The sequence below is a fragment of the Homo sapiens genome, chromosome 12 (genome assembly GCF_000001405.40).
Source record: "Homo sapiens chromosome 12, GRCh38.p14 Primary Assembly".
NCBI lineage: Eukaryota > Metazoa > Chordata > Mammalia > Primates > Hominidae > Homo > Homo sapiens.
The window spans coordinates 96270575-96295844 of record NC_000012.12 but is presented as its reverse complement, the minus strand read 5'-3'; the positions used below and the strand labels follow the sequence as shown (position 1 = coordinate 96295844).

Sequence of the window (25270 nt, the reverse complement as noted above, 5' to 3'; positions counted from 1 at the left end):
ATGTACAGCAAAAACTCTACCATTAGCCTTATAGGAATTACTTTTTTCAGAGTCATTCAGAACACTACGGTGCTAATGCCCCTTTGTGAATCACAGTAGATTTTGAAGGCTAAGTAGGAGGTGCTGAAAGTAAAGTACCCAAGAGATGGGTGATAGAAGCTGGTTTAGGTTAGTTTTATAGTAAGTAATTTGCCAGAGCTATGCAGCAGCTTTCTCTTTGATACCTCAGACTTTTCATAAAATCGCCAATTCCAGTGCCTTATTTTAAAGACACTGCCCCAGATCAGAGTTTTTGTTTTTGTTTTTTTTCAAGGAGAGATGGGTGGGAGGGGGGTTGGTTGGTTGTTTTGCCAGAATTTTATAATTAAACTATGTAAACCTTAGTAGGCCTGTAAGTTTATGAGGATATGTTTTTTTTTTTAAGTCATTTTCCACAGTAAATCAACTGTTACTGCTAGGAGGAAGTTACTTTTTAAAAAATATTTCCATAGATACTGTTAGACTAAAAGAAATAGGTAGATGCTTCAAATAGAATAATAAACTATTAAATTCAGAAAGCCACTATATATAAAAGGAAAAAGACATTGTACTTAAGTATGCAATTACTTTCTTTTTCCTGTTACAATGTTCTAGGCCAGCTGCTTTTCTGCTTACCATCATTTATGCTTATACTAAAGCATGTCTCATCTTTAAGACTAATTTTTATTTATTTGTTTCTGTAGCTGTTTCTGTACCAAATTCTACGTGGTTTGGCATATTGCCATAGAAGAAAGGTATTGCATCGAGACTTGAAACCACAGAACCTCCTCATTAATGAGAAAGGAGAATTAAAGCTAGCAGATTTTGGTATGGAATGTATGAGATATTTATTAGTACTTCCAGGTTCTAAAGTGTAATGGTTAAAAGATCAACCACTGTCATAATGTGCCATTGCTTTTATGTGGGTTTGGAAATTTTCTCGGTAGCCCACAGAATAAGATATTTGACAGAACTTTGGTTGGTGATTTATGTTGGTTATTAGCAGCAAATTCTAAAATGCACAGGCTGTTCTTGGGTGTGGACAAAGACCCCTAGGGCTCCTGAGACCCTTGTAGGAGGCCTCTAAATGTAAATATATTACCAAAATTGTACCATCTGTTATTTGCCTATTTCACTGTGTTAATATTTGCAATGATGGTCCCAAAATAATAATGCATAAAACTATACATCAAAGTAGTGGCACCAAAATATATCTTTTTTTTTTTTTTTTTTTTTTTTTTTGAAGACAGCATTTTGCTGTTAAAGCCCAGGCTGGAGTGCAGTGGTGTGATCTTGACTCACTGCAACCTCTGCCTCCCAGGTTCAAGTGACTCTCCTGCCTCAGCCTCCCAAGTAGCTGGGATTACAGGCATGCGCCACCATGCCTGGCTAATTTTGTATTTTTAGCGTGACCACCATGTTGGTCAGGCTGATCTCGAACTCCTGACCTCAGGTGGTCCACTCGCCTCGGCCTCCCAAAGTGCTGAGATTACAGGCATGAGCCACCATGCCCAGGCCGTCATTGTATTCTTTACCACTACACTTACGTAAAGGGAAAACTGTCAGTTACACTTACATGATGAAGCAATAAAATTTATTAATTATATTTAATTTCCATCCTTGACTACATTTCTTTTTAATATTTTATGTGATAAAATGGGAAGTGTACATAAAACTCATTTGCTGCACACAGAAATAATGTGGTTACTTCTCAGGGAAAAGTGCTCATGTGATTATTTGAGTGCACATTGAACTAGCCCTGTTATTTGAGGGGACACCATTTTTACTTAAATGACTGACAGACAAACTGTGGTTATTCAGACTTAGGTGTTTGGCAGACATTTTCCTGAAAGTGAATGAAGGAAGCCTATCATTTCAAGGAAAAGAACTGTCAGTATTTCTTGCCAATAATAAAATTCAAGTTTTCAAGCAAAAATTAGAGTTTGGAAATTTGGATCTGCTTTGAGTTTGATGGCTTTTCAATACTTAGAGACTTTTCTGATGAGATCGATGTTGATGTTAACAAACACGATTTTTCAATATGCTGAAAAAGTGTATAAACATTTGGAATGTATAACCCAGGGATCCACTGTTTTCCAAATGGCTAATGCATGATATTACAGAATCATGCATGGATAAAAGACCCATTTAAAGTACAAGGTCAATGAATTTTAGTGCAACAAAAGCATGAGAAGTTCATCGTTATAGGTTTTGTTAACACATAGCTTTTAAGAGACCACTTACTTTCTAGTTCTGATGTAGTGTCAAATAAGACTATTCACATTTATCAGAAAAGGCTATTAAAATGCCCCTCCTCTTTCAACCTCATATCTGTGTGAGATTTGATTTCCTTCATATATGTATGTTGTGATATGTATATTTGATCTATTTTGATACATATTGTGATATGTATCAAAGCAACATATCACGACACACAGAATGCAAAAACAGATGTGGAATCCAGTTGTCTTCTATTGAAATAGACTTTAGGCCAGACACAGTGGCTCAGGGGTGTAATCCCAGCACTTATGAGGCTGAGGTGAGAGGATCACTTGAAGCCGGGAGTTTAAGACCAGCCTGGGCAACATAGCAAGACCCCATCTCTACAAAAACAAGACTTAAAAGAGATTTACAAAAATGTGAAAGAAGGCCATTCTTCTTACTGTTTTGTTTTTATAAAAAAAATGTTTTTCATAAAAATGTCATACATGCTGCATATAAAGGGTGGTGTTTTTAAAGAGAAAATAATATTTTAAAATTTGCTAAGTTTTAATTTCTAATGTGGCAAATATCAGTAAATATATCCACAAAAATAAAAGCTCTTTAGGTCTTTGATAATTTTCAAGAGTATAAAATGGGTCTTGAGAACAATGAGTTTAGAAGCAACTACTGAAAGGCGTTCCCTTAATATACCTGCCACCATTACTCTGTATTTATTATATGCTCAGTAATTTAATTGTAGCTATTTATCTATTTTTTTTTTAGCTAATCTGGTTTTAAGGGAATTGAAAGTAAAATTAAATGCTCTTTTTGCTTCTAGAAAGTAAACTTTTTCATATTGAAGGAACTTTGTAGAGCAGCTTTGAATTTTTTGTATTCCGCATTCTGAGAGTTTGAATACTCTTAGAGAACTTAGTTTTTAAAAACCCATGCAGTTTTCCATAACTAAATTCATAATTTTTTTTCATAAATGATTATGGTAGTTTTTTGGTTGTTTGTTTTGAGACAGGGTCTTGCTCTGTCACCCTGGCTGAAGTCTAGTGGTGCAATCTCAGCTCACTACAACCTTCGCCTTCTGGGTTCAAGCGATTCTGGTGCCTCAGCCTCCCAAATAGCTGCAATTACAGGGGTGCCCACCACGCCCAGCTAATTTTTGTATTTTTAGTAGAGATGGGGTTTCACCATGTTGTTCAGGCTGGTCTCGAACTCCTGGCCTCAAGCAATCTGCCTGCCTTGGCCTCCCAAAATGCTGGGATTACAGGTGTGAGCCATCACACCTGGCTTTGATTATGGTAGTTTTATGTTTGGAGTATTTCATTAAATTTAATAAATATGAGTGTTTCAAGTATTACTCTTCACTGTCATTAAATGGTGAGTTTATTCTGGAAATTCCTATACTTTTGCTCGTTTAATACTTTGCCATTTGAAGAGTAAATTACTTTTTGCATTTCCTTCCTTAAAAAGGAAATGTGTGGGTTACCTGTGTTTGAATAACAAATTATATGCTATTTACATATGCTTTCATAAAGTCTCTTCTTGGGCATAGTTTATGTTGTTATTTCCCTTATAATAATTGTTACTCTCTCTCTCTTTTTTCTTTCTCTTTCCTTCCCCCAGCCACTATTTCCTTTTCACTCTTTTTCCTTCTCCTTCTCTTTGTTTGCTAACCTGCATGTAATGCTCTTTATTCCCAATCCCAAAATGAATGGCAGTGAAGAGAAATACTTCAGGATGCTAAGGCGGGTGGATCAGATGAGGTCAGGAGTTCAAAACCAGCCTGACCAACATGGTGAAACCCTGTCTCTACTCAAAATAGAAAAGTTAGCTGGGCATTGTGGCGGACACCTGTAATCCCAGCTATTTGGGAAGTTTAGGCAGGAGAATTGCTTGAACCCGGGAGGCGGAGGTTGCAGTGAGCCAAGATCATGCCACTGCATGACAGAGCGAGACTTCATCTCAAAAAAAAAAAAAAAAAAAAGCAAAAGGAATGTCAAGGACTATAAAAAATTTACCTTTGGCTGGGTGCGGTTGCTGACACCTGTAATCCCAGCACTTTGGAAGGCCCAGCAGGCAGATTGCTTGAGCTCAGGAGTTCAAGACCAGTCTGGGCAATATGGCAAAAACCTGCCTCTATAAAAAATTTCAAAATTAGCCAGGTGTGGCGGTGTGCACCTCTAGTCCCAGCCAGTTGGGAGGCTGAGATGGTAGGATCAGTTGTGCCCGGGAGGTTGAGGCTTCAGCGAGTCATGATCAAGCCATTTCATTCTAGCCTGGTTGACAGAACAAGACCCTGTCTCAAAAAGAGGAAGAAAAAAACAACAACTACTTTTATCAGGGAATACTCTGAGTGCTTTAAATTTTGCTTCCAACCTCTACAATGCAAGCCAGGCAAATTTTACCCACAAGGCAACAAGAAATTCTGATTATTCCATGAGATAGTATATTCAATTCTGTCTCTATTTCTTCCTTTTTTTTTTTTTTTTTGGTTGCATAGTAAATATGACTTCTTGTGAAGGAGGGTCATATAACTTTGAGTATTTATACTATAAGTTGTTCTCTGTCCCTCTGAAAATTCTACCCTTTTCCCACGATCAGTGAAAATCAGAAGTCTAGGAACTAGTGATATAGACAGATATTTTCACTAATGATAGAAAATGGCTTATATAATAATACCATATCACATTTAATTAATTTTGTTTAGGAGAGATTGTTTCATTTCATTCCAACCAGTATTGAAATTCTAATTGTGAACTAGAAGGCCATGTACACAAACACCATAGTTCGGAATCCTCTCAGGAGTGGGAGAGTAGGATACTGAGGAAACTATAACTGGTAATTTGCCTTGATATGGTATGTTACAGGATAAGCACGTTTGCAGCCCTGTCCTTTGCCTTCCTATAACCCACTTTTAATATCAAGAAGAGAGGTCAGAAAGCTACCTCCATCTTGTTAATTAATTACCAAAATTGGTATGAAAATAATTTGTTGGACTTACTTCACCAAGTTGAGATGCTAGAGTAAAACTTGTAATTAAATGAAGGAATGTCAACATTGTTCCAGTTATAACCTTTCACCATTATACTGAACTGAAATAGTATATGAGTCCTGCCTAATTAAATTTCTGACATTGTTTCTGTAACCTTATTCAGTAAAATTGATTTTTTCTTTTGTGACATTTTTCTTTAATATTTTAATCAGATATACCAAGTTATATATAACAGCAATCTCAGCCTAAAAAATAAATTCTTCCTTGTTTTGGCAAAATAAATTTGTAATTTTCCAGATATTTTTTAAAGTTGCTTCTTCAGATCATAATTTAGAGGCTTCGAGGTAATAGCGACTCTCTCACACTAGTGACTCAAGAGATAAAGTTGTAAACTCTAGCCTTTATTTCTGGATTATCAATAGATTCCATATTAAATTAGCAAAGGAATGGCAAATGTTTTATATCACTTACAGCAAGCTTGTCCAACCCATGGCCCATGGGCCATATATGGCCCAGGATGGCTTTGAATGCAGCCCAACACAAATTCGTAAACTTTCTTAAAACATTATGAGATTTTTTTGCGATTTTTTTTTTTAAAGGTCATGGCTGTTGTTAGTGTTAGTGTATTTTATGTGTGGCTTAAGACAGTTCTTCCATTGTAGCCCAGGGAAGCTAAAAGATTGGACACCCCTGACGTAAACAGCAATTAATAATATCCAAGGACAATGAAGTCTGTCTTACTCCAGAATGATCCATGTAACTTACAACCTAAAAAGGGAGTACAGAACAGCACTGTAATTTTATTCCAAGGAAATTGTCTCTAAGTCGATTTGTCAGTAAATCTCAATGAGATTATGGACCAATAACTTTACAGTTTTTGATAAAAAATGGTATAGCAAATGAAAGTTGGAATCAGGTTAAAAGGTGACAAAAGCTCATAGCCGTTAGAAGTAAAATTGTGTATCTCAATGTCATTGGCCTATTATGGATTAATTTAATTGCAGCTGAGAAATAATTTTGTCATCATGATTCATGGACAGAAGGAAAACATCTTAAGTTTAGATTCACCCAGAATACTTCACCAGGTGTATTCAAACATAAAAGTAAGCACAGTCTCTGGTTGTGGAATTCTTGTTTAGTTCAACTATGTAAGGATTTGCTTACTTAGGGCCACATGCACTCAACGAATTCATAAAGTTAATAGTGGTGAAGCCTCAAGAAGCTACGAATTAACCATTTCAGGCATCCCTTTGAATGGAGTCATGGTGAGAATAGGGTCTGAGAGATCCATTAAAGCTTTTTCTTAACCCTTTGTTTTATTTTCCCTATGAAGGACTAGCCCGAGCCAAGTCAGTTCCCACAAAGACCTACTCAAATGAAGTTGTCACACTATGGTACCGGCCACCTGATGTGCTTCTTGGTTCCTCGGAGTACTCAACACAGATTGACATGTGGTAAATATATACAGATGTCACTGACATTTATAATTTTGAAAGAATGTAACTGTTAATGCAAGATGTATTGATAAGTATATACTTTTAAGGAGATATTATTTTAAAGAGCCATAATGTAACAGTGATTAATGAGTTCTGGCATGGGAATTAGATTACCTAGGTTTAAATACCAATTCTGCCATTTAGAACTATGTGTTAACTTTATTCAAATTACTGGCCTTTGCCTCAGTTTCCTCATTTAAGGAAATGGGAATAGTAACAATAACTACTTTGAAGTGTTGTAGGTGATGTTAAGATTAAATGAACACTCAGAAGAGTGCTTTATGAGACACTCAAGAGTATCTGATACATAGTAATTTAAAACAAAATTATCATTTTATCATCATTTAATATTCACCAAAATCTTTCTGCTTTAACTTGAACTAAAAGTAATAATCAAAATATTGTAGTCATCTTTCTCACACACCGCTTCGATCCTGACACTCTTCTACTCAGACACCGTTATTGCCACCCCCTTCATTACCTATAGAATAAGGTACAATTAATTCCTCAATCTGATACTTAAGGATTTCCATAAGATGTCTCTAAACTACCTTTTCCAACTTATTTCAGACTGTTTCTCAACACAAATGTTCCCTTTTAGCAAAATGGCATACTCACTATATCTCAGGAATAATGTGGACTTTCCTACCTTTGCTCTTGGTGTTCATACCAGTCCACCCATCTGGAATGCCCACTCCGGTGCTCTAACTTGGGCTCATTCCTAGTAACGTTCAAAATACAGCTTTTCATAAATCCTTTCCTGAATATACTCTAGCCTCTGTTGGCAGTTCCTTCCTCTGAACTGTGGTTGCATTTATTTTCTATGTTCTTCATGTGGTAATAAGTCATATACCGATTTCTGTTGCTGTCTTGAACAGTTTATGTAAAATGTCTCGTATAACTTTTTAAAATTAATTTTTAATATTGTAAAATACTCATAAAATTTATCATTTTAACCAATTTAAGTGTACAGTTGTGAGACATTAAGTACATTTATATTGTTATGCAACCATCACCACTATCTATCTACCTCCAGAATCTTTTTCATCTTGCAAAACCAAAACTCTGTACCCACTTAACAATTTCTTCCTATTCCCCTCCCCCACCATCAGTTTCTGGTAACCACTGTTCTATAATACTTTCTGTCTCCATAAATTTGACTGTTCTAAGTACCACTTATGAGTAGAATCATGCAGTGTGTGTCTTTTCATGACTGGCTTACTTCATTTGGCATAATGTCTTTAAGGTTCATTCACGTTGTAGTGTATGCCAGAATTTCCTTCCTTTTTAAGGCTAAAAATACTCCATTAAATATATATTCCACATTCTGTTACCCATTTATCCATTGATGGACATTTGGTTTGCTTCCACCTTTTGACTATTGTAAATAATGCTGTTGTGCACATGGGTATACAAATACCTTTTCAGGACCCTGCTTTCAATTATCTCTCTCTCCTTCTCTTTTTCTTTTTAAGAGACATTGTCTCACCATGTTGTCCAGGCTGGTCTTAGACTCCTGGGCTCAAGCAGTCCTCCTGCATTGGCCTGATTTCAGTTCTTTTAGATATATACCTAGGAGTAGAATTGCTGGATCATATAGTAATTCTACTTTTAATTTTTTGAGGAACCACCATACTATTTTCCATAGCAACTATATCATTTTACTTTCTATATAACACTTAATATGTAAAATTAACTTTTATATATAGTTGCTAGATTACGAGCCCTTTAATGGAAGGATTATGTCTTAAACTGTGTGTGTACATACAGTTCCTAGATGACTGTTCTAAGAACCACCATTCTATTCTCTGAACCACCATCCTTTTCTTTTCCTTCACTTACACACACCGCCTTGTACCAACATGTTCTACCTCTGCTTCCTGCATCAAAACGTCTTGAATCATTTGTTTCTCTCCATTTCTCCTGCCTAGCTTCACTCACTGTCATCTCCTAGATTACCATAATATCTCTTCAGTTGTTTTTCCCCACTCCTGTCTTTGCTGTTCAATCCATGGTCTACACTATTGCTAATACAAGGATTCAGTGAGATAATTGGTGCACTTAAAAAACATTTCTAACACATAGTAAATCTTCAGTCACTGTTAGCTGTTGTTAGTGTTATTCTTCAAGGATTATGCAAAGGAGAGTTGGACATTTTAAGTGGGAAAAATGGATATAGCAATATAGAAATTGAGACAAATAGGGTAAATGCGAACAAATTAGTTAGATCTAAAATATCCCTTCAAGAGGTTTTCCGACAGGCTAGTGCAAAATTCTGCAGAGAGGCAACCTTAAGGAAAAGATTCTTGTGCTTCATAATATGTAAATGAATTGCTAAATTATTTTCATGATCTATTTTAAAGGGGTGTTGGTTGCATTTTCTTTGAAATGGCTTCTGGAAGACCTTTATTTCCAGGATCAACCGTGGAAGATGAACTGCACTTAATTTTCCGACTGCTAGGTAACAGAAGAAATCTTTTCCCAGTGATTTTGCACCCATAATTGACTAGCTGGATAAGACTGTATCTCTAAAATACATATTTTAAAATTAGATACTGAGACTAACATAAACAGCTGTTAGTTAGAATAATTAGAATGGACACTATGAAGATAGATCCTTCTAGGTAACTTCATCTGCTAAGTTTTATCTTTGCAATAAAGATTTTATGGAAAAACAGAACATAATTAGTATGGAAAATTGGATGTCACCATATTATTAAGGAATATTGCTAACTTTTTTGGTATCAACTGGATAGAAAAAGGACCAGGCATCCTTTTTACAGTATCATTGCAAAGTCCAAACAAAAAGTCCATGTACGTTTATTTCTGTCATTTCAATTGCAGTTGAAATAGTTAAGTCATCTGGTAAATGTAAATTATTCTCTAAGACACTTTGTTATATATATGTGTATATAATTTTTATATATAAATTTTATATATATTTATAAATATATTTAATTTTTTTTTTTAATTCAGGAACTCCATCTCAGGAAACTTGGCCAGGTATTTCTTCAAATGAGGAGTTCAAGAACTACAACTTTCCAAAATATAAACCACAGCCTCTAATTAACCACGCACCCAGGTATTTTTTTTTCTTATGTGAAAGGGGGGAAAACACATGATTCTTTTCAATCTTTTGAAGGATTAGCCACAGTAAGGATTCAGGAAAAAATACATAATACACATAACCCTTACGTATTTTAGGATCTTATTTAATTTTGAACTGTATATGTTTTAGAATTCTAGAGTTTATGTAGTTACTTTTCCCAGAAAGAAGACATTGATTAATGCCTTATTCCGTACCACAGAGATTATGATGAAATTCCTGTTTTGCTTTCTACAGAATTATTCTGTATTTACTTAACAAAAACCTAAGAAAGGGTTATGTAAGTAAAATCTTGACTCTATAACACAAGGTAACCTATCAGTATTTTGACCAGTGTTAATGATGTAATTCATATTTGAAGAATATAAACTCTGTCCAATTCCTTAGCAAAATGTAACATCTAAATGTCAGCCATTCATTTAAGTTTCTTCTTAGACCTACCCCAAGATCAATCCAAGGCTCCCAATAAAATTTGAGTCAGAACATTTTTACTTGTAGAATGTATTACATTTTCAGGAGATAACATAGAATAACCCCTTTGACTGCATTTTCCATCTCCCTGCCCCCAACCCCCCCAAATTTTGAAAGTCACCAAGATACCAAATAAGGACATCATTTATTTTAACCCAAAGCCATTCACATTGCTCACAACATAACACACTTGTTATGCTTCCTTTTATTTTCAAGCTAAGGAAGGAAGAGCAAAACAGTTATGACACCAAAAATATTTTTAAAGTATTTATGTGAGTTGGTACTCTTATTGTTACTATAGCAACTAATACCATTCTAACTAGATTTTCTTAGGAAGAATAATAATACTTGCTGGGCTTTTTTTGCATGTCTCTCCCAAGTAGCATAAATTCTATTTTTGTCCTTTAATTATTTTTTGGTAATGTTCAGTGTAGAAGGTTGAAGCTTTTCTTTGAAGCAGAGTCTCCATGACTTAGTGCCTAGTTTGTGCCCAGGGAACTCTGGATATGTGCTAGAATGGCAAACTACATAGAATGTCTAGACTGCAGCATCCACAGGACCCACTTGAGAGCACTTGGAAAAAAACGTTACCTTATTCATAATTGTACTTCTACCAGTGAAAGGCAGTGTAAGATAGAACCTGTTATTTCTGATCAAGAGATTATTCCATTAAGATAATCCCAGGCCGGGCACGGTGATTCACGCCTGTAATCCCAGCACTTTAGGGGGGCCAAGGCAGGCGGATCACCTGAGGTTGGGAGTTTGAGACCAGCCTGACCAACATGGAGAAACCCTGTCTACTAAAAATACAAAAAATTAGCCGGACGTGGTGGTGCATGCCTGTAATCCTAGCTACTCGGGAGGCTGAGGCAGGAGAATCACGTGAACCCAGGAGGTAGAGAGGTTGCAGTGAGCCGGGATCGCACCTTTGCACTCCAGCCTAGGCAACAAGAGCGAAACACCATCTCAAAAAAAAAAAAAAGATAATCCCTAACCCTACTACCCCTAGTTATACTAATTTCATCTTTATTATGTCATTAGTTTTATATCCCTTATTGATGAATTTTTTTTTTTTTTTTTTTTTTGGGAGACAGAGTCTCGCTCTTCCGCCCAGGCCAGACTGCAGTGGTGCTATCTCAGGTCACTGCAAGCCCCACCTCCCGGGTTCACGCCATTCTCCTGCCTCAGCCTCCCGAGTAGCTGGGACTACAGGCGCCTGCCCCTGCGCCTGGCTAATTTTTAGTAGAGACGGGGTTTCACTATGTTAGCCAGGATGGTCTCGATCTCCTGACCTCGTGATCCACCCGCCTCGGCCTCCCAAAGTGCTGGGATTACAGGCGTGAGCCACTGCACCTGGCCACCATTGATGAAGTTTTATGAAGTTATTGTAGCATATTTAAATTGAACTCAATACCTTCTAGTACCCGGTGCTAAGCAGACAACTCTAAAAATTTGCTGAATAGCTCATTTCTGTGTTTGTCTTGAACAACAGTGATACATTTTGGGGTCACTTGTCTCTGTTTTCACCTATATAATAGGAAAATGATGCTCTTATATACTTGCGTTTAGTGAAAGACTGCGAAAAGTGATACAATATGTAAGCTTTCTTAATATTGAAGTTTCTTTGTTTTGAGACAGCATGGTGATTTTTAAAATTCTTTAATTTGTTCTTGGATATTGAAAATTCAAATTGAAGCCAAGTTATTTATGGCTTATCCTTAAACAAATAGCAAGGCCAGTCTTTTAAGACTAAAACAGATTTGTGTCTATTTGAAGACAACAAGAGTGACTATTTTAGGGCATTTAAATTTAGCAGATTAAAACACTTAGAAAATAGTTTTATCTGAAAAGTTTTATCAGCTAAGAGAGCATAAATTTTTACTTGTTCTTTGTTGTTTCTAGGTTAGACTCTGAAGGAATTGAGTTGATAACAAAATTTCTTCAGGTAAGTCAGTTCTTACAGTAATTGTTAAATAGGTTGTTAAGCCTCAGCTTCTTCATGTGTAGAATGGGCTCAGTAGTACTTCCTCGGTATTGTTAATGACAAATAAAATTATCTATGCTTAAGGCACATGTTTAAGTTAAAAAAAAAAAAAAAAACATGGTTTCTCCTAATGTGTCTGGGTCTCTTGTCACCTACAACAGTCTGAGGTAGTTGGTTACTGGCATTGATCAGCTGTGTCAAGGCCACATTCTCTGCAATTGATGCTCTCTATGCTCTCTTATGTTCTCTTTTCCTTATACGTACAGCCTTTGGAGGATGCTCTGCCTCCAAATGCCATTCATATTTCCCTCCAAAGCAGGAATAAGGGGGGACGATAAGGGTAGTACCAGCCACATTAGTCCTCTTGAAACTTGGAAGCAAAAGCTTTACAGAAACCCCTACAAGGTTTCTTTCCAAGTCTTATTGGCCAGAACATTAATTGTAGGAAAGACTGGGAATTGGGGAGCAGAATTGTCATAATTAGCCAAAATTTAAAACAGTTATGATTCATGATTCATCTATCAGAGTTGATGGACACCTTGAACAAACCTAGGTTGTATCATCAAAAAAAAAAGGGAAATGAGTATTGGATAGGTCGTTAAGAATGACTGCCATAAAAATACTGGGTATATGTCCACCAGTCCTTTGGTGTTCATGAAGAGAAGTAACTACACAGGTCAAATATTTTAATTTTTCTTTGCTTCAGAAAATACAAGCAATGTAAATTCTTGTTTAAGATCCAGCCTTATCTTAGAAATGTGGAACTGAGATGTTATTACACAATCTCAGCAGCGACTCAAATTAGAGTATAACTGGAGTATTCCAAATTGTTGATTGAAAAATAGTCATCATATTAAATAATCAAGATTTTTTTTAAGTAGCTCTAAATGCTAATTTGCCCATCTCCTACTTTTTGCAGTAATTAGAGAAAAAGCTAATGAAGCAGTTCTTTGCTTTTTCACAGTATGAATCTAAGAAAAGGGTTTCAGCTGAAGAGGCCATGAAACATGTGTACTTTCGAAGTCTGGGACCAAGAATACATGCTTTACCAGAAAGTAAGAGAAATCCTAAAGTGTTTTCCCTGCTTTATTTTTATTTGTCCAAGGTTAGGGTCTGGGGTGATTGGGGAGATGGCTATTGATTTTTAAGCCTAAGATTCTAGTCTTCTCTATAGTTAGATTAGAATTTCTTGAAGGGAGGTGTGTGTCTTATTTCCCTATGATTCAGTTATTTCTTGTAACACTGAGCACATTGTCACTCCTCTGTAGGAAACCAATAGTACTTAGGCAAGGATCATTAATCTTATTGGACTTTAGTTGAAACATGCCATCTGATGACAGGCATTGTCCCTAGGCCCAATCTAGCTTCGATTTAGCGTTGTTAAAAGTGAATTTCAAACAAAAACTAATGAAGCATAACCGAAACATAAATTGTTTTCTTGTGAAAATACATTTTTTCTTAAGATACAAAGATGATTTTCCTTTATTGTGGTCACACTGACTTTACTATCCCCATGACAGCAGTGAGCATATTGTCAAAGTCACTGTAATAGCAGATTTCCCATGCCTGAATAACATTGATTTTACTCTTAACATTCTATTTTTAGATTACCACAGTATTTTACTTTAAAATAGAGTAAGGTGAGTGGGGAATTAGAAGAATGTTTGGGAACTAAGCTGCCAAAAGCTTTCATTAATTTCCTATTCTCATTTATTAGACAATATTGATTCATCAAAGCTTGTGTAGCAGTCAGTGACAAAGCTAATTGGAATAAAAAATCCTTAATACTTTTCACTTCAACTTTACTGGATATATTTAAATGAAAGAATACCTCTCTGACAGAGATTGGAAATGAAAAAGATAAATTACAAGTTTTCTTTTAAAGATATTTGTATTTCACTGGGCGCGATGGCTCATGCCTGTAATCCCAGCACTTTGGGAGGCCAAGGCGGGCGGATCACGAGGTCAGGAGTTCGAGACCAGGCTGACCAACATGGGGAAACCCCGTCTCTACTAAAAATACAAAAATTAGCTGGGCGTGGTGGCGCGTACCTGTAATCCCAGCTACTCAGGAGACTGAGGCAGGAGAACTGCTTGAACCTGGGAGGCGGAGGTTGCAGTGAGCCAAGATCATGCCACTGCACTCTAGCCTGGGTGAGAGAGTGAGACTCCGTCTCAAAAAGAAAAAGGTATTTGTGTTTCATTATTAATACCAAGTTTTACTTTGAGGTAGGCAGTTATGGTTATACAAACCTTTTCCTTGTTTTTCGCTAAAATTCCAAAGATAGCTTGAGGGCCTGGTACCTTCATGTCATTGTAAGGAGACAGAGAAAGGACAGAGAGAATTAACACCTAGTATAATAATATATTTTGACTGGGTCTCCCAACCCCAGAAAGTCCTGGAACAGACAGTGTATATTCTCCTCAGAGAAACACTTGCCCACAGCCTGCTCTGACACAGAGTTGGAAGAAGAAAGGTTCTAAAGGTGGATTGCTTCATTCATTTAGTTTTCTCCTCAACACACTGGGACAAAAAGGAAAAATTTCAGCAGGGCTATCACCTTGTAAAATGGTTTCATATTGAATCAGTATATGCTTTATAAACATTTGTTGATAGTAGGGTTGTGTTTGTTTTAATGTTAGACCTTCACCTAATAATTTTTGTCTATGCATTTTAGGTGTATCAATATTCAGTTTGAAAGAGATTCAGTTGCAAAAGGACCCGGGTTTTCGAAATTCTTCTTATCCAGAGACAGGTGTGTTTGTCATAAACCATTTCACGTGTCGATCATGAATTTTTGCGTGGAACCAAGCTTTTGGTTTATAAATTGATCAGTAAAATTATTGATGTAAAAACCAATGTACAGTGCATTCCACAACTGTTTATGTTTAGCATTGCACGTACTCACTTTTCTGTATGATGTGGGCAGCTCAGTAAATCTTCAGAGAAAAATCTGACTCAGTCAAGTCAGGGATCCTGAAAGCTGCAGATGGCACAAAGACCTTTTACAAGTGACCTGGCTTGATCACTGCACACGCCATCCCTGGTACCTGAGGCAGAAGACACATCTTGTGCTTCCCTAGTCATCAGGTTCATCACTTCGAAGCATAGAAGCTGTAGACTGACCCCGTCAACAGAAGGGTCATTTAAGACAGTGCTGATCACTCTTACCATGGAATATTAGCTTTTGCTGGTGGGAACATTAGCTTCCTAGTCACCAAATAACTGTATGTGGGATAAAACTGAACCTTGAACTGCCTCATAAAATGACTTTATATTTTAGGACATGGGAAGAACAGAAGACAGAGCATGCTCTTTTAAGTCTGATAACATGGTTTCAAGCCCAGCCCCCAGCCTTTCTTACCAATCAAGGACTCAGAACTGAAGGCAATTATTTCTTTTGGTGGACTTGGAATCTCCGTTTGTCTACACTGTCCTCTTCACAGTGGAGTCTTTTTATTTCAGACCTACAGATTGTTTTTATATTTGTTGTCACAGTGTGACAATTTTTTGTACAGTCGGTTTTAAGGTCTTCTCTGCCATTAGAGCCAGTAGGTTACAGCTATTGATGTAACTATAGCTGCAATTTTTGTGCAGGACTGAGAAACACAGTGCATTATTTATTGCGGAATCATTGCTGCTAAATAACTACTGTCTGTTTATTTAACACAACAATTGAATGCCTGAAGAAGTTGCAGTGGCTTTATTATATGTGAATGCATCTGTTTCTCCTCACGAATTGTTTTACTGCTGCATTTTTTGTTTTTAAAATTAAACTGCAGTGTTTCCTGGAATGTAAATTTAGCTTTGCTTAATAGTAAAATAAGTGAGCCATCTTGAACACTTTAAGTTTATACTATATAATTTCTTAATGAACATTGGCAAATAGAGTAGCTAAGAGATTGACAAGCACATTACGTTTAGATAAGCATGTGATGCAGAAGTTGATTCAAGCAAGTGAATCCCTGACATTTTGAGGATCTCACATTAGACACCAACAAATTAAAGCTCCAAAATTATTTATTTTTTATGTGTTCCTCACTTTAGAAACGTCTACTGCATATTACTGGATATTTGTATACTAATACACTTACCTATTTTACATTGTGTTTTAAATTTAGTTAAAACTTAACCGTAGAAGTCTGTTCAAACGCGAAAGGTCTTGCTTTGTTTGTTTTAAATACATTTATTTTATTAGAAAGGATGATATTTCATTGGGGAATAGTTTCTTTCATTTGGGGGCTATGTGTTTCAATAACATTCACTTGGAATCAGCTGAAAGCTGTAATATGTCTTTGAAATGAGCCATGATAAATTACAAACAAGAGAAATGAGAACTTACAGGATTGCTTGAAATTATTGTGGGTATTATCTGTTTACCAGAGATACTAAATATTAGTTTTAATTATGCATCTCTTTGAACATCATAAACACACTTTGGTGTTGGTAACAGTATTTTAAGCATTTTTGTTCACTTTTAAGGACTATTTGTTTAGTGCATCTTACAAACTATAAATCTTAATTGGTATATTTTGAAATGGTCGTGTAAATTTTTGCCTTATATATCATGAAAATAGTCATAACTTAATTTCTTTTCCTGAAATTCACTGTAAAACATTCAGGGGTCCTACCATTTCTGTTCAGGAAATCTTGTAGTTTATTGTTGTTATTTAACAGTATTAAGTGGATTTTTGTATATTTCATTTTAACTTTATTTGTGAATAGTGATTGTGGCATGTTTGGGGTGTTATTTTAATATTTCACGATACTAAAATTTTAATTTTAAAAAATTCTGGAAGAAACAGATTCATGTGTAATGGTGAATATTGGACCACTACTGCTTTTCACATTTGTAAATTGGTTTTATGTTAAACCTTGTAGCCTAACAAACTGCTGTTCTTTCTAACTGACAGACATGTATTAATATTGTACTTTGAAGGTTATAAATATGTGGAAATTCCTTCATTTTGTTTTGAAATTTATAATAACAAAATCTCCATGTTGTTAAAATGTGGTTTTATTGAGTCACAGTTCTTTCTTGGGGATGAAGGCTGTGCCGAGTGGGGTCCTTTTCTTTTATGGGTCGTTCTTAAGATAATGAAGTCTCACTGTGCTAGAGGTGTTATTGTTTTCTGTTTGTGCCAATCATTTGCTTAGTAATTTCTGCTGGGTTTTTTTTATAGCACTCTCAATTATAAAGTATCAAATTTGTCACTTCATAGAATGTATATTTGATTTGTTGCAAATTTGACATTATAGCTTTTCATAGGCTTAATTCTTGCGTATAAAAGATGAAAATATATATCCATTTGTTACATAAAGTGTTTCTTCCTAGGAATTCCTAGGGGTATTTCTTCATTTTATTAAGGAATTTGACAAGCAAACAAGTGTTTGTTTTTTTGTTTTATTTTTGATACTCGAGCACCATTCAGATCCTGAAAACACTGCAGTGAAGGGAATTGAAACTCCGAAACTTGGAACTTTGAATACCTGTGATTCCTCTTAAACTGGTAAGATTCTTAAAGGTAAGAGAAGATGCCTTTTATATTTTCTTTCCAAGTGGTACTGTGAACACACATTGGATGTGTCATTCTAGGTGTATAGAGTGGCTGCATTCTGTCTGAGGCTTTATCAACTTTCATTTGAAAGGCTATTTGTTAACATGTTATAATCTGTCTTTTGGACTCGGGACAATTTATGTAGGTTCTTTTTATCTTTTAAAAATTGTGTTGAGACATATATATATATATATATATATATATATATATATATATATATATATCATAAAATTTGGCATTGTAATTATTTGTATGTGTACAGTTCAGTGGCATAATTATAGCCACAAAGTTGTATAACAGTTACCACTGTCTACTTCTAAAATGTTTCATTACTCCAAACAGAAACTCTGAACCATTTTACCCTTCCCCGCAGCCCCTGGTAACCGCTAATCTACTTTCTGTCTCTGTGAATTTGCCCATTCTAGGTATTTCAAATAAGTGGAGTCATACCATATTTGTCGTTTTGGGTCTGGCTTATTTCATTCAGCATAATGTTCACAGTTCATCCATGTTTAGCATGTATCAGAACTTCATTTCTTATCATGACTGAATAATATTCTATTATGATTATACACATTTTGTTTATCGATTTATCTGTTGATGGACACTAGGATATCCCATCTTTTGGCTTTTGTGAATAATGCTGTGTGAACATTGGGGTATAAGCATCTGTTTGAGTCCTTGTTTTTAATTATTTGGGGAATACATACACCTAGGAGTGGAATTGCTGGGTCATATAATTCTGTGTTTGACTGTTTGAGGAACTGCCAAAATGTTTTCCACAGTGGCTGTACTATTTGATATTTGCAGTAGTAATGCATGAGAGTTCCAGTTTCTCCTCATCCTTGCTAATTCTTTTTTTCCTCCTTTTTATTACATTTATTCTAATAAGTTGAAGTGGTATTTCATTGTAGTTTTTATTTGCATTTACCTAATGCTTAGTGATGTGGAACATCTTTTCATACTTTTTTGGCTATTTGTTTATTTGCTTTGGATAAACCTTTATCCAAAGGTTTATTCAAGTACTTTGTCCATTTTAAAAATAGGGTTGCTTGTCTTTTTGTCATCGAGTTTAAAAATTCTTTATGTATTTTGGCTGTTACACCTTTATGAGGTATTTGATTTGTAATTATTTTCTCCTGTTCTTTGGGTTCTCTTTCACTTTCTTTGGTGTCCTTTTGTTGCACAAAAGTTTTATTTTATTTTATTTTTATTGTTATTATTTTCTGAGACGGAGCCTTGCTCTGTTGTCCACACTGGAGTGCAGTGGTGCAATCTCGGCTCACTGCTACCTCTGCCTCCTGGGTTCAAGCGATTCTCCTGACTCAGCCTCCCAAGTAGCTGGGATTATAGGCATGTGCCACCATGCCCAGCTAATTTTTACGTTTTTAGTAGAGATGGGGTTTCACCATGTTGGCCAGGCTGGTCTCGAACTCCTGACCTTGTGATCCGCCCATTTCAGCCTCCCAAAGTGCTGGGATTACAGGTGTGAGCCACCACGCACAGCCAAAAGTTTTTAATTTAACGACATCTATTTTATCTCGTTTGTTGCCTGTGCTTTTGGTGATTTAAGAAAGTATTGTCACGTTTCAAAGGTCATAAATATTTGCTCTTATATTTTCCTTTAAGAGTTTATTATATTTTTAGCTGTCAGATTTAGAGCTTTGATCCATTTAAATTTTTATGTGTGATACAAAGTAAGGGTCCGACTTTATTTTGCATATGAATATCAATTTTTTTTTCCAGCACCATTTGTTGAAAAGACTGTCCTTTCCCCATTAAGTGGTCTTGGTGCCCTTCTCAGAAATCAGTTGACCATAGATGTGAGGTTTATTTCTGGGCTGTCAGGTCTGTTCCATTAGTCTATATGTCTGTCCATAAGGGTTTGTAGCACAATGTTTTGATTACTGTCTTTAGAACGTTTTAAATCAGAAAATGTGAGTCTTCCAACTTTGTTCTCTTTCTCAAGATTGTTGTAGCTATTCAGAGTCTCTTGAAATTCAATATGAATTTTAAGATGGGATTTTCTATTTCTGCAACAACAACAAAACACCATTGGAATTATGATAGGGTTTGCATTAAATTAGAATCTATAGATCACTTTGGGTAGTATTACAATTTTAATAATATTAAATCTTCCAGTCCATGAACACAAGATTTCTTTCCATTTAGTTAGGTCATCTATAATTTCAGCAACATTTTGTAGTTTTCAGCATACAAGTCTTTTGCCTTCTTAAATTTATTCCTAAGCATCTTATTCTTATTGATGTTATTGTAGATGGAGTTGTTTTCTTAATTTCTTTTTGGATTTTTTCATTGCTAGTGTATAGAAATACAAGTAATTTTTGTGTGTTCCTTTTGTATCCTGCAGCTTTGCTAAATTTGATTATTAGCACTAACAGGGTTTCTGTAGAGTCTTTAGGGTTTTCTATACATATGATCTTGTTACCTGCAAGGAATGATAGTTTTACTTCCTCCTTTATAATTTGGATGCTGTTTATTTCTTTCTCTTGCCTAATTGCTCTGTCTAGGACTTCCAGTACTATGTTGAAGTGATGAAGGAACATATCCTTGTCTTGTTTTGATCTTAGGGACAAAGCTTTCAGTCTCTCACCATTGAGTATGCTATTAGCTGTGTCTTTCTATGTATGGTCTTTAACGTGTTAAAGAAGTTCCCTTCTATCCCTAGTTTATTGAGTATTTTTATCTTGAGAATATTGGATTTTCTTCAAATGCTTTTTCTCCATCAATTAAGATGATCATATTGTTTTCTATATTTTTTTGATGTGTATTACATTGATTTTCATATGTGAAACCACTCTTGCATTCCTTGGATAAATCCTACTTGGTTATGGTATGTAATTCTAATAGGCTGCTGAATTTAGTTTGCTAAATTTTTTTTAGTATTTTTGCCTATATTCATAAGGTATTTGGCCTGTAGTTACTTTTCTTATAGTGTTTTTGTCTGGATTTGGTATCAGGGTAATGCTGGCTTAATAGAATGAGTTAGGAAGTGTTCTCTCCTCTTCAGTTTTTTGGAATAGTTTGAGGATTGGTGTTAATTCTTCCTTAAATATTTGGTAGAATTCAGCAGTGAGGTGACCTGGTCCTGGCTTTTCTTTGTTCAGAGGTTTTGATTAATGATACAGTCTCTTTGTTATATATAATTTTATTCAGAGTTTTTATTTCTTGTTAGTTTTGGTAGTTTGTGTGTTTCTAGGAATTTGTCCATTTAATCTCTTATAACCAGTTTGCTGACATAAACTTTTTCATAGTAGTCTCTTATAATCCTTTTTATTTCTGTTATTGATTTCTAGTTTCATTCCATTGTGGTTAGAGAAGATAGTTTGTATGATTTCAGTTTTTAAAAATGTATTAAGAGTTGTTTTGTGGCCTAACATATGGTCTGTTCTGGAGAATGCTTCATGTATGCTTGAGAAAGTATGTGTCATTCTATGAAAAATATTGTTGGGTAGAGTGTTTGGTATGTGTCTGTTAGGTCTAATTGGTTCACAGTGTTCAGTTCCTCTCTTTCTTTACTGATCTGACTCTTTTGTACATTATTGAAGTGGGAGCATTGACATCTCCAACTGTTATTGCAGGATTGTCATATTTCTCCTTTCAGTTCTGTGAGTGCATGCTTCATATATTTGGGGGCCCTGTTACTGGCTGCATATGTGTTTATAATTGTTACCTATCTTCTTGGTGGATTGAACCTTTTAGCAATATATAATGTCCTTTGTCTCCTGTAACTTTTTTTTGATACTTTAGTCTATTTTATCTGACAAAAATATGGCCACCCCATACCTCTTTTGGTTACTATTTGTATGGAATATTTTTTCCATTCTTTTATTTTCAGCCTCTTCAAAGTAAAAATACAGTGTCTGTGTTTTTAAAGTGAGTCTCTTGTAGATAGCATATTGATGGATCATTTTTTAAATCCATCCTGCCCATCTCTGCCCATTAATTGGAGACTTTACAACATTTACATTTAAAATAATTACTGATAAGGAAGGACTTCTGCCATTTAGCTGTTTTCTGTATGTCTTATGTGCTTTTTGTTCTTCAGTTTCTACATACTGCCTTGTATTTGATTTTTTTTTTTTTGGTAATGTACCATTTTTATTTTCTTCTTTCTTTGCCTGTATATTTTTAGTTATTTTCAGTTCCTATCATTTTAAAATATTTATCCCCAAATGTAATCCCTTCGAGTTTATTATTTATAATGTCAGTGGTTTTATTTTTTAAATATTCTAGATTCTTACATTGATTCTTTCTGATTGACAAATTCATCCATATCAGAATTTTAAGTGTTAACACAAGCCCTCAAGCAAGGCTGCTGAAGAATTTGCATACTTTTCTATGTTCCAAACTTGAAATTTCCAAAGTTTTTAATGCATTACTTTAGACCCAAGAGAAAGGTACAACATTTTCCCCTCTTGCTCAGTGTAAAGCTGAAACTATTTAAAAAAAATTTTTTTTTGAGATGGAGTTATGCTCTGTCACCCAGGCTGGAGTACAGTGGTGCAATCTCAGCTCATTGCAACCTCCGCCTCTCAGGTTCAAGCAATTCTCCTGCCTCAGCTTCCTGAGTAGCTGGGATTATAGGTACATGCCACCATACCTGGCTGATTTTTCTATATTTAGTAGAGACGAGGTTTCACTATGTTGGCTAGGCTGGTCTTGAACTCCTGACCTCAGGTGATCCACCTGCCTCGGCCCCCCAAAGTGCTGGGATTACAGACGTGAGCCACCATGCCTGGCCTGAAACTATTTTCTAATCTTAAATTCAGATTCTGGGCTTAGTCAGATAGGAGTTTCCCTGAGCTGTCATCATTCCCGGCTGAAGTTATTACAATAATCAGTTTCCATCACTGACCCAGAAAATCACTGAAGTTACCAATTTTCTGTTAGACTCAAACAGAAAGAAGGTGACCAAGCCACTGATTATAAAGCTACTTTGATTAGAGGAGAATATAAAATTTCAATCTGTGATGATGGGGAGGATTTTTCATTGGTGGGTTCCCCCTAAGAGAAGTGGGAAAATTCCACTAATTTGAAAACCCATTTTTCAAAGATTACCATTTCAAAGACTGTAAACTAAACCTCTGTTGAGTAGAGTGGGTGTGGGGGCTAGATGTGCAGGTGTGCATCTGTGAGAGGGGGACAGGGAGAGAAAGACTGAAGCTGGAATAGGAATCCTGATGGCTGTTCTTGCTACTCTCTCCCACCTTAACGCTGCTGCAGTAGTGATGCAGAGATACCTGGGCTGGATCATAAAGATGTGAAGATGTAGCTGGTGACCCTCTGGATAATATGCAGCACCTTTCAGAGGGTAAGGGAAACTTAGCGTCTGCCAACAGTCTTGTATGTTTACCAAAGGATGGCTCCACTGGGCTCTGATTGACCTATGGAATTTTAGTGAATAGACTTGGGACTTAACGCAAGACTCCCTTGGGACTCTTTTGAGTCTTTCCTAGAACAGTGCTAGTTGAAACAGTGCCACTCTCCAGCCGTTTCTCCAGCTATATTGACAATAGTTCCACATTCTAACAGTCAAAATAGTCTTAAGGATCATCTTTATCTTGTTATTTTCTTCCTCATGTATGTATGCAGCTGAGGTTGTCAAGTGATGAATGGGTGACGTGGTGCTGTTACAGGCTGTGTAGCTCATCTCTGGATGATGATGATGGACTGTTATTCCAGAAACACTGAAAAAGTTTATTTTTGAGGGCCCCATCCTGCCATCTTGCTCTTCCACAGAATCGTAGCTAATCACTGTGTCATTTACTCCTCAGGGATCTAGAAGCGTTCCTCCTTCCTCCCTTTTCAATTTCGACTCTGTTGCTACTGGTATCTACATTACTATCCCATATGATGATGAGATAGGCTTTGTTCTCTGTGAGGGTAAATCCAGCCATATTGATCTTTTGAGTTCCTCACACCTCACCTCATTGTGAAACATCCCCTTTCCTCTGCTTGTTCATCTATGCCTCTTCTCTTTGTTACCCTTACTCATTCTCAATGTAATTTTTTCTTCCAGAAAGCCTTCTCTGCCCCACCTACCCTACCACAGACTGGGTTATGTGCTCTGCTGCTTAACTGCCTTCCTTCCCAATAGCATCCTTATACTTCACTCTGCAACAACACTTAATCACACGTCATTTCTTCTCACTAATCCACAAGCTCCATGAAGGAGAGGATTGCATTTTGCTCTTCTTTATCCTAGTACCTGATACATTTTAGGGGAACAGTAGTATTTGCTGATCAAATTAAGGCACACATGCATGATGAAATTCTGAGTAATTCTAAAAAATCTTTTGTCAGTTATGTAATATCAACTTGGATTCGTCCCCTCTCTGAGTCAACCAAAGACAAATGTCGCTGTCAAAAATTGGTGATAGAAACTTTCTTCCTAGCTGGCTAAAACATGTGAGTCTTTAAAATCTTAAGAACTAACCTATGATCAAGCTGTTCTCAACACACACACACACACACACGCACACACACACACAGATATGCAGGTACACACGCGCCACTGGGGAGTGGGTCTAGGAATAAAGTCAATACTAGAGAAATCTAGGTAGGGCCAGCTTCTTGATGACAGAAAATTTGCCTGCCCTCCCAGGAAACACTGATATAGCAAACATGTCTGAAAGGTTTATGTGCACCAGGTACTGTTCTATGTGAAGATGTAAATTGCTAATTTACATTCGTTGGAAGTCCTATAGATTAAGACCATGGCCTCTCAATCAAAATGCTGTTTGAAATCTGGCCAATTCTGTGACCTTGAGCCAGTTCCTTAATCACTCTAGGCTTCAATTTCCTTATCTGTAAAATGGTATATAATAGTACTTCTATCATAGGTTTATTAGGAAGATTAAGTAATCCATGTAACATGCTTAGAACAGTGCCTGGCATGACAGCAACCTTACAAATGGTTGCTATCATTAACTGAAATTATGCCATCCAGCAATGAAATAAAACCATGTTTTAGAGATCTGACTCACCTGAGAGAGGGTAACTAAACATAGTGTATTCTTCAGTGCCAATCCTTTAGGCAGGGTCATATAATCCCAGGTAACACGAAGGGGCGGCGCAGATCCCTGTGGGTATTTAAGCATAAAAGGGCATTTTACAAAACTGATTTGAATTCTTTTTTTTTTTTTTTGAGATGTAGTTTCGCTCTCGTCATCCAGGCTGGAGTGCAGTGGCATGATCTCGGCTCACTGCAACCTCCACCTCCCAGATCCAGGTGATTCTCCTGCCTCAGCCTCCCGCGTAGCTGGGATTACAGGCGCTTGCCATCATGCCCAACTAATTTTTGCGTATTTAGTAGAGACGGGGTTTCACCATGTTGGCCAGGCTGGTCTTGAACTCCTGACCTCAGGTGATCCACTCGCCTGGGCCTCCCAAAGTGCTGGGATTAC

At 36.2% G+C, this 25270-nt stretch overlaps 1 protein-coding gene across 5 annotated transcripts in view; it reads left to right on the top strand.

The window, feature by feature from the left end:
• CDK17 (cyclin dependent kinase 17) overlaps positions 1 to 17620 on the top strand; it is a 122215-nt gene extending 104595 nt beyond the window's left edge. For 4 of the 5 annotated variants that reach the window (XM_017019407.3, NM_002595.5, XM_017019406.2 and 1 more), the window contains 8 exons: positions 723 to 846; positions 6558 to 6678; positions 9084 to 9181; positions 9697 to 9802; positions 12200 to 12242; positions 13246 to 13336; positions 14960 to 15037; positions 15566 to 17584. In XM_017019407.3, coding sequence (XP_016874896.1) covers positions 723 to 846; positions 6558 to 6678; positions 9084 to 9181; positions 9697 to 9802; positions 12200 to 12242; positions 13246 to 13336; positions 14960 to 15037; positions 15566 to 15603 — 699 coding nt within the window. In that variant the 3' untranslated portion in view covers positions 15604 to 17584. Of the gene's footprint in view, positions 1 to 722; positions 847 to 6557; positions 6679 to 9083; positions 9182 to 9696; positions 9803 to 12199; positions 12243 to 13245; positions 13337 to 14959 lie in introns of all 5 variants that reach the window. The other variant, NM_001170464.4, reaches the window with a different exon arrangement.
• The last annotated feature ends 7650 nt before the right edge of the window (positions 17621 to 25270 follow it).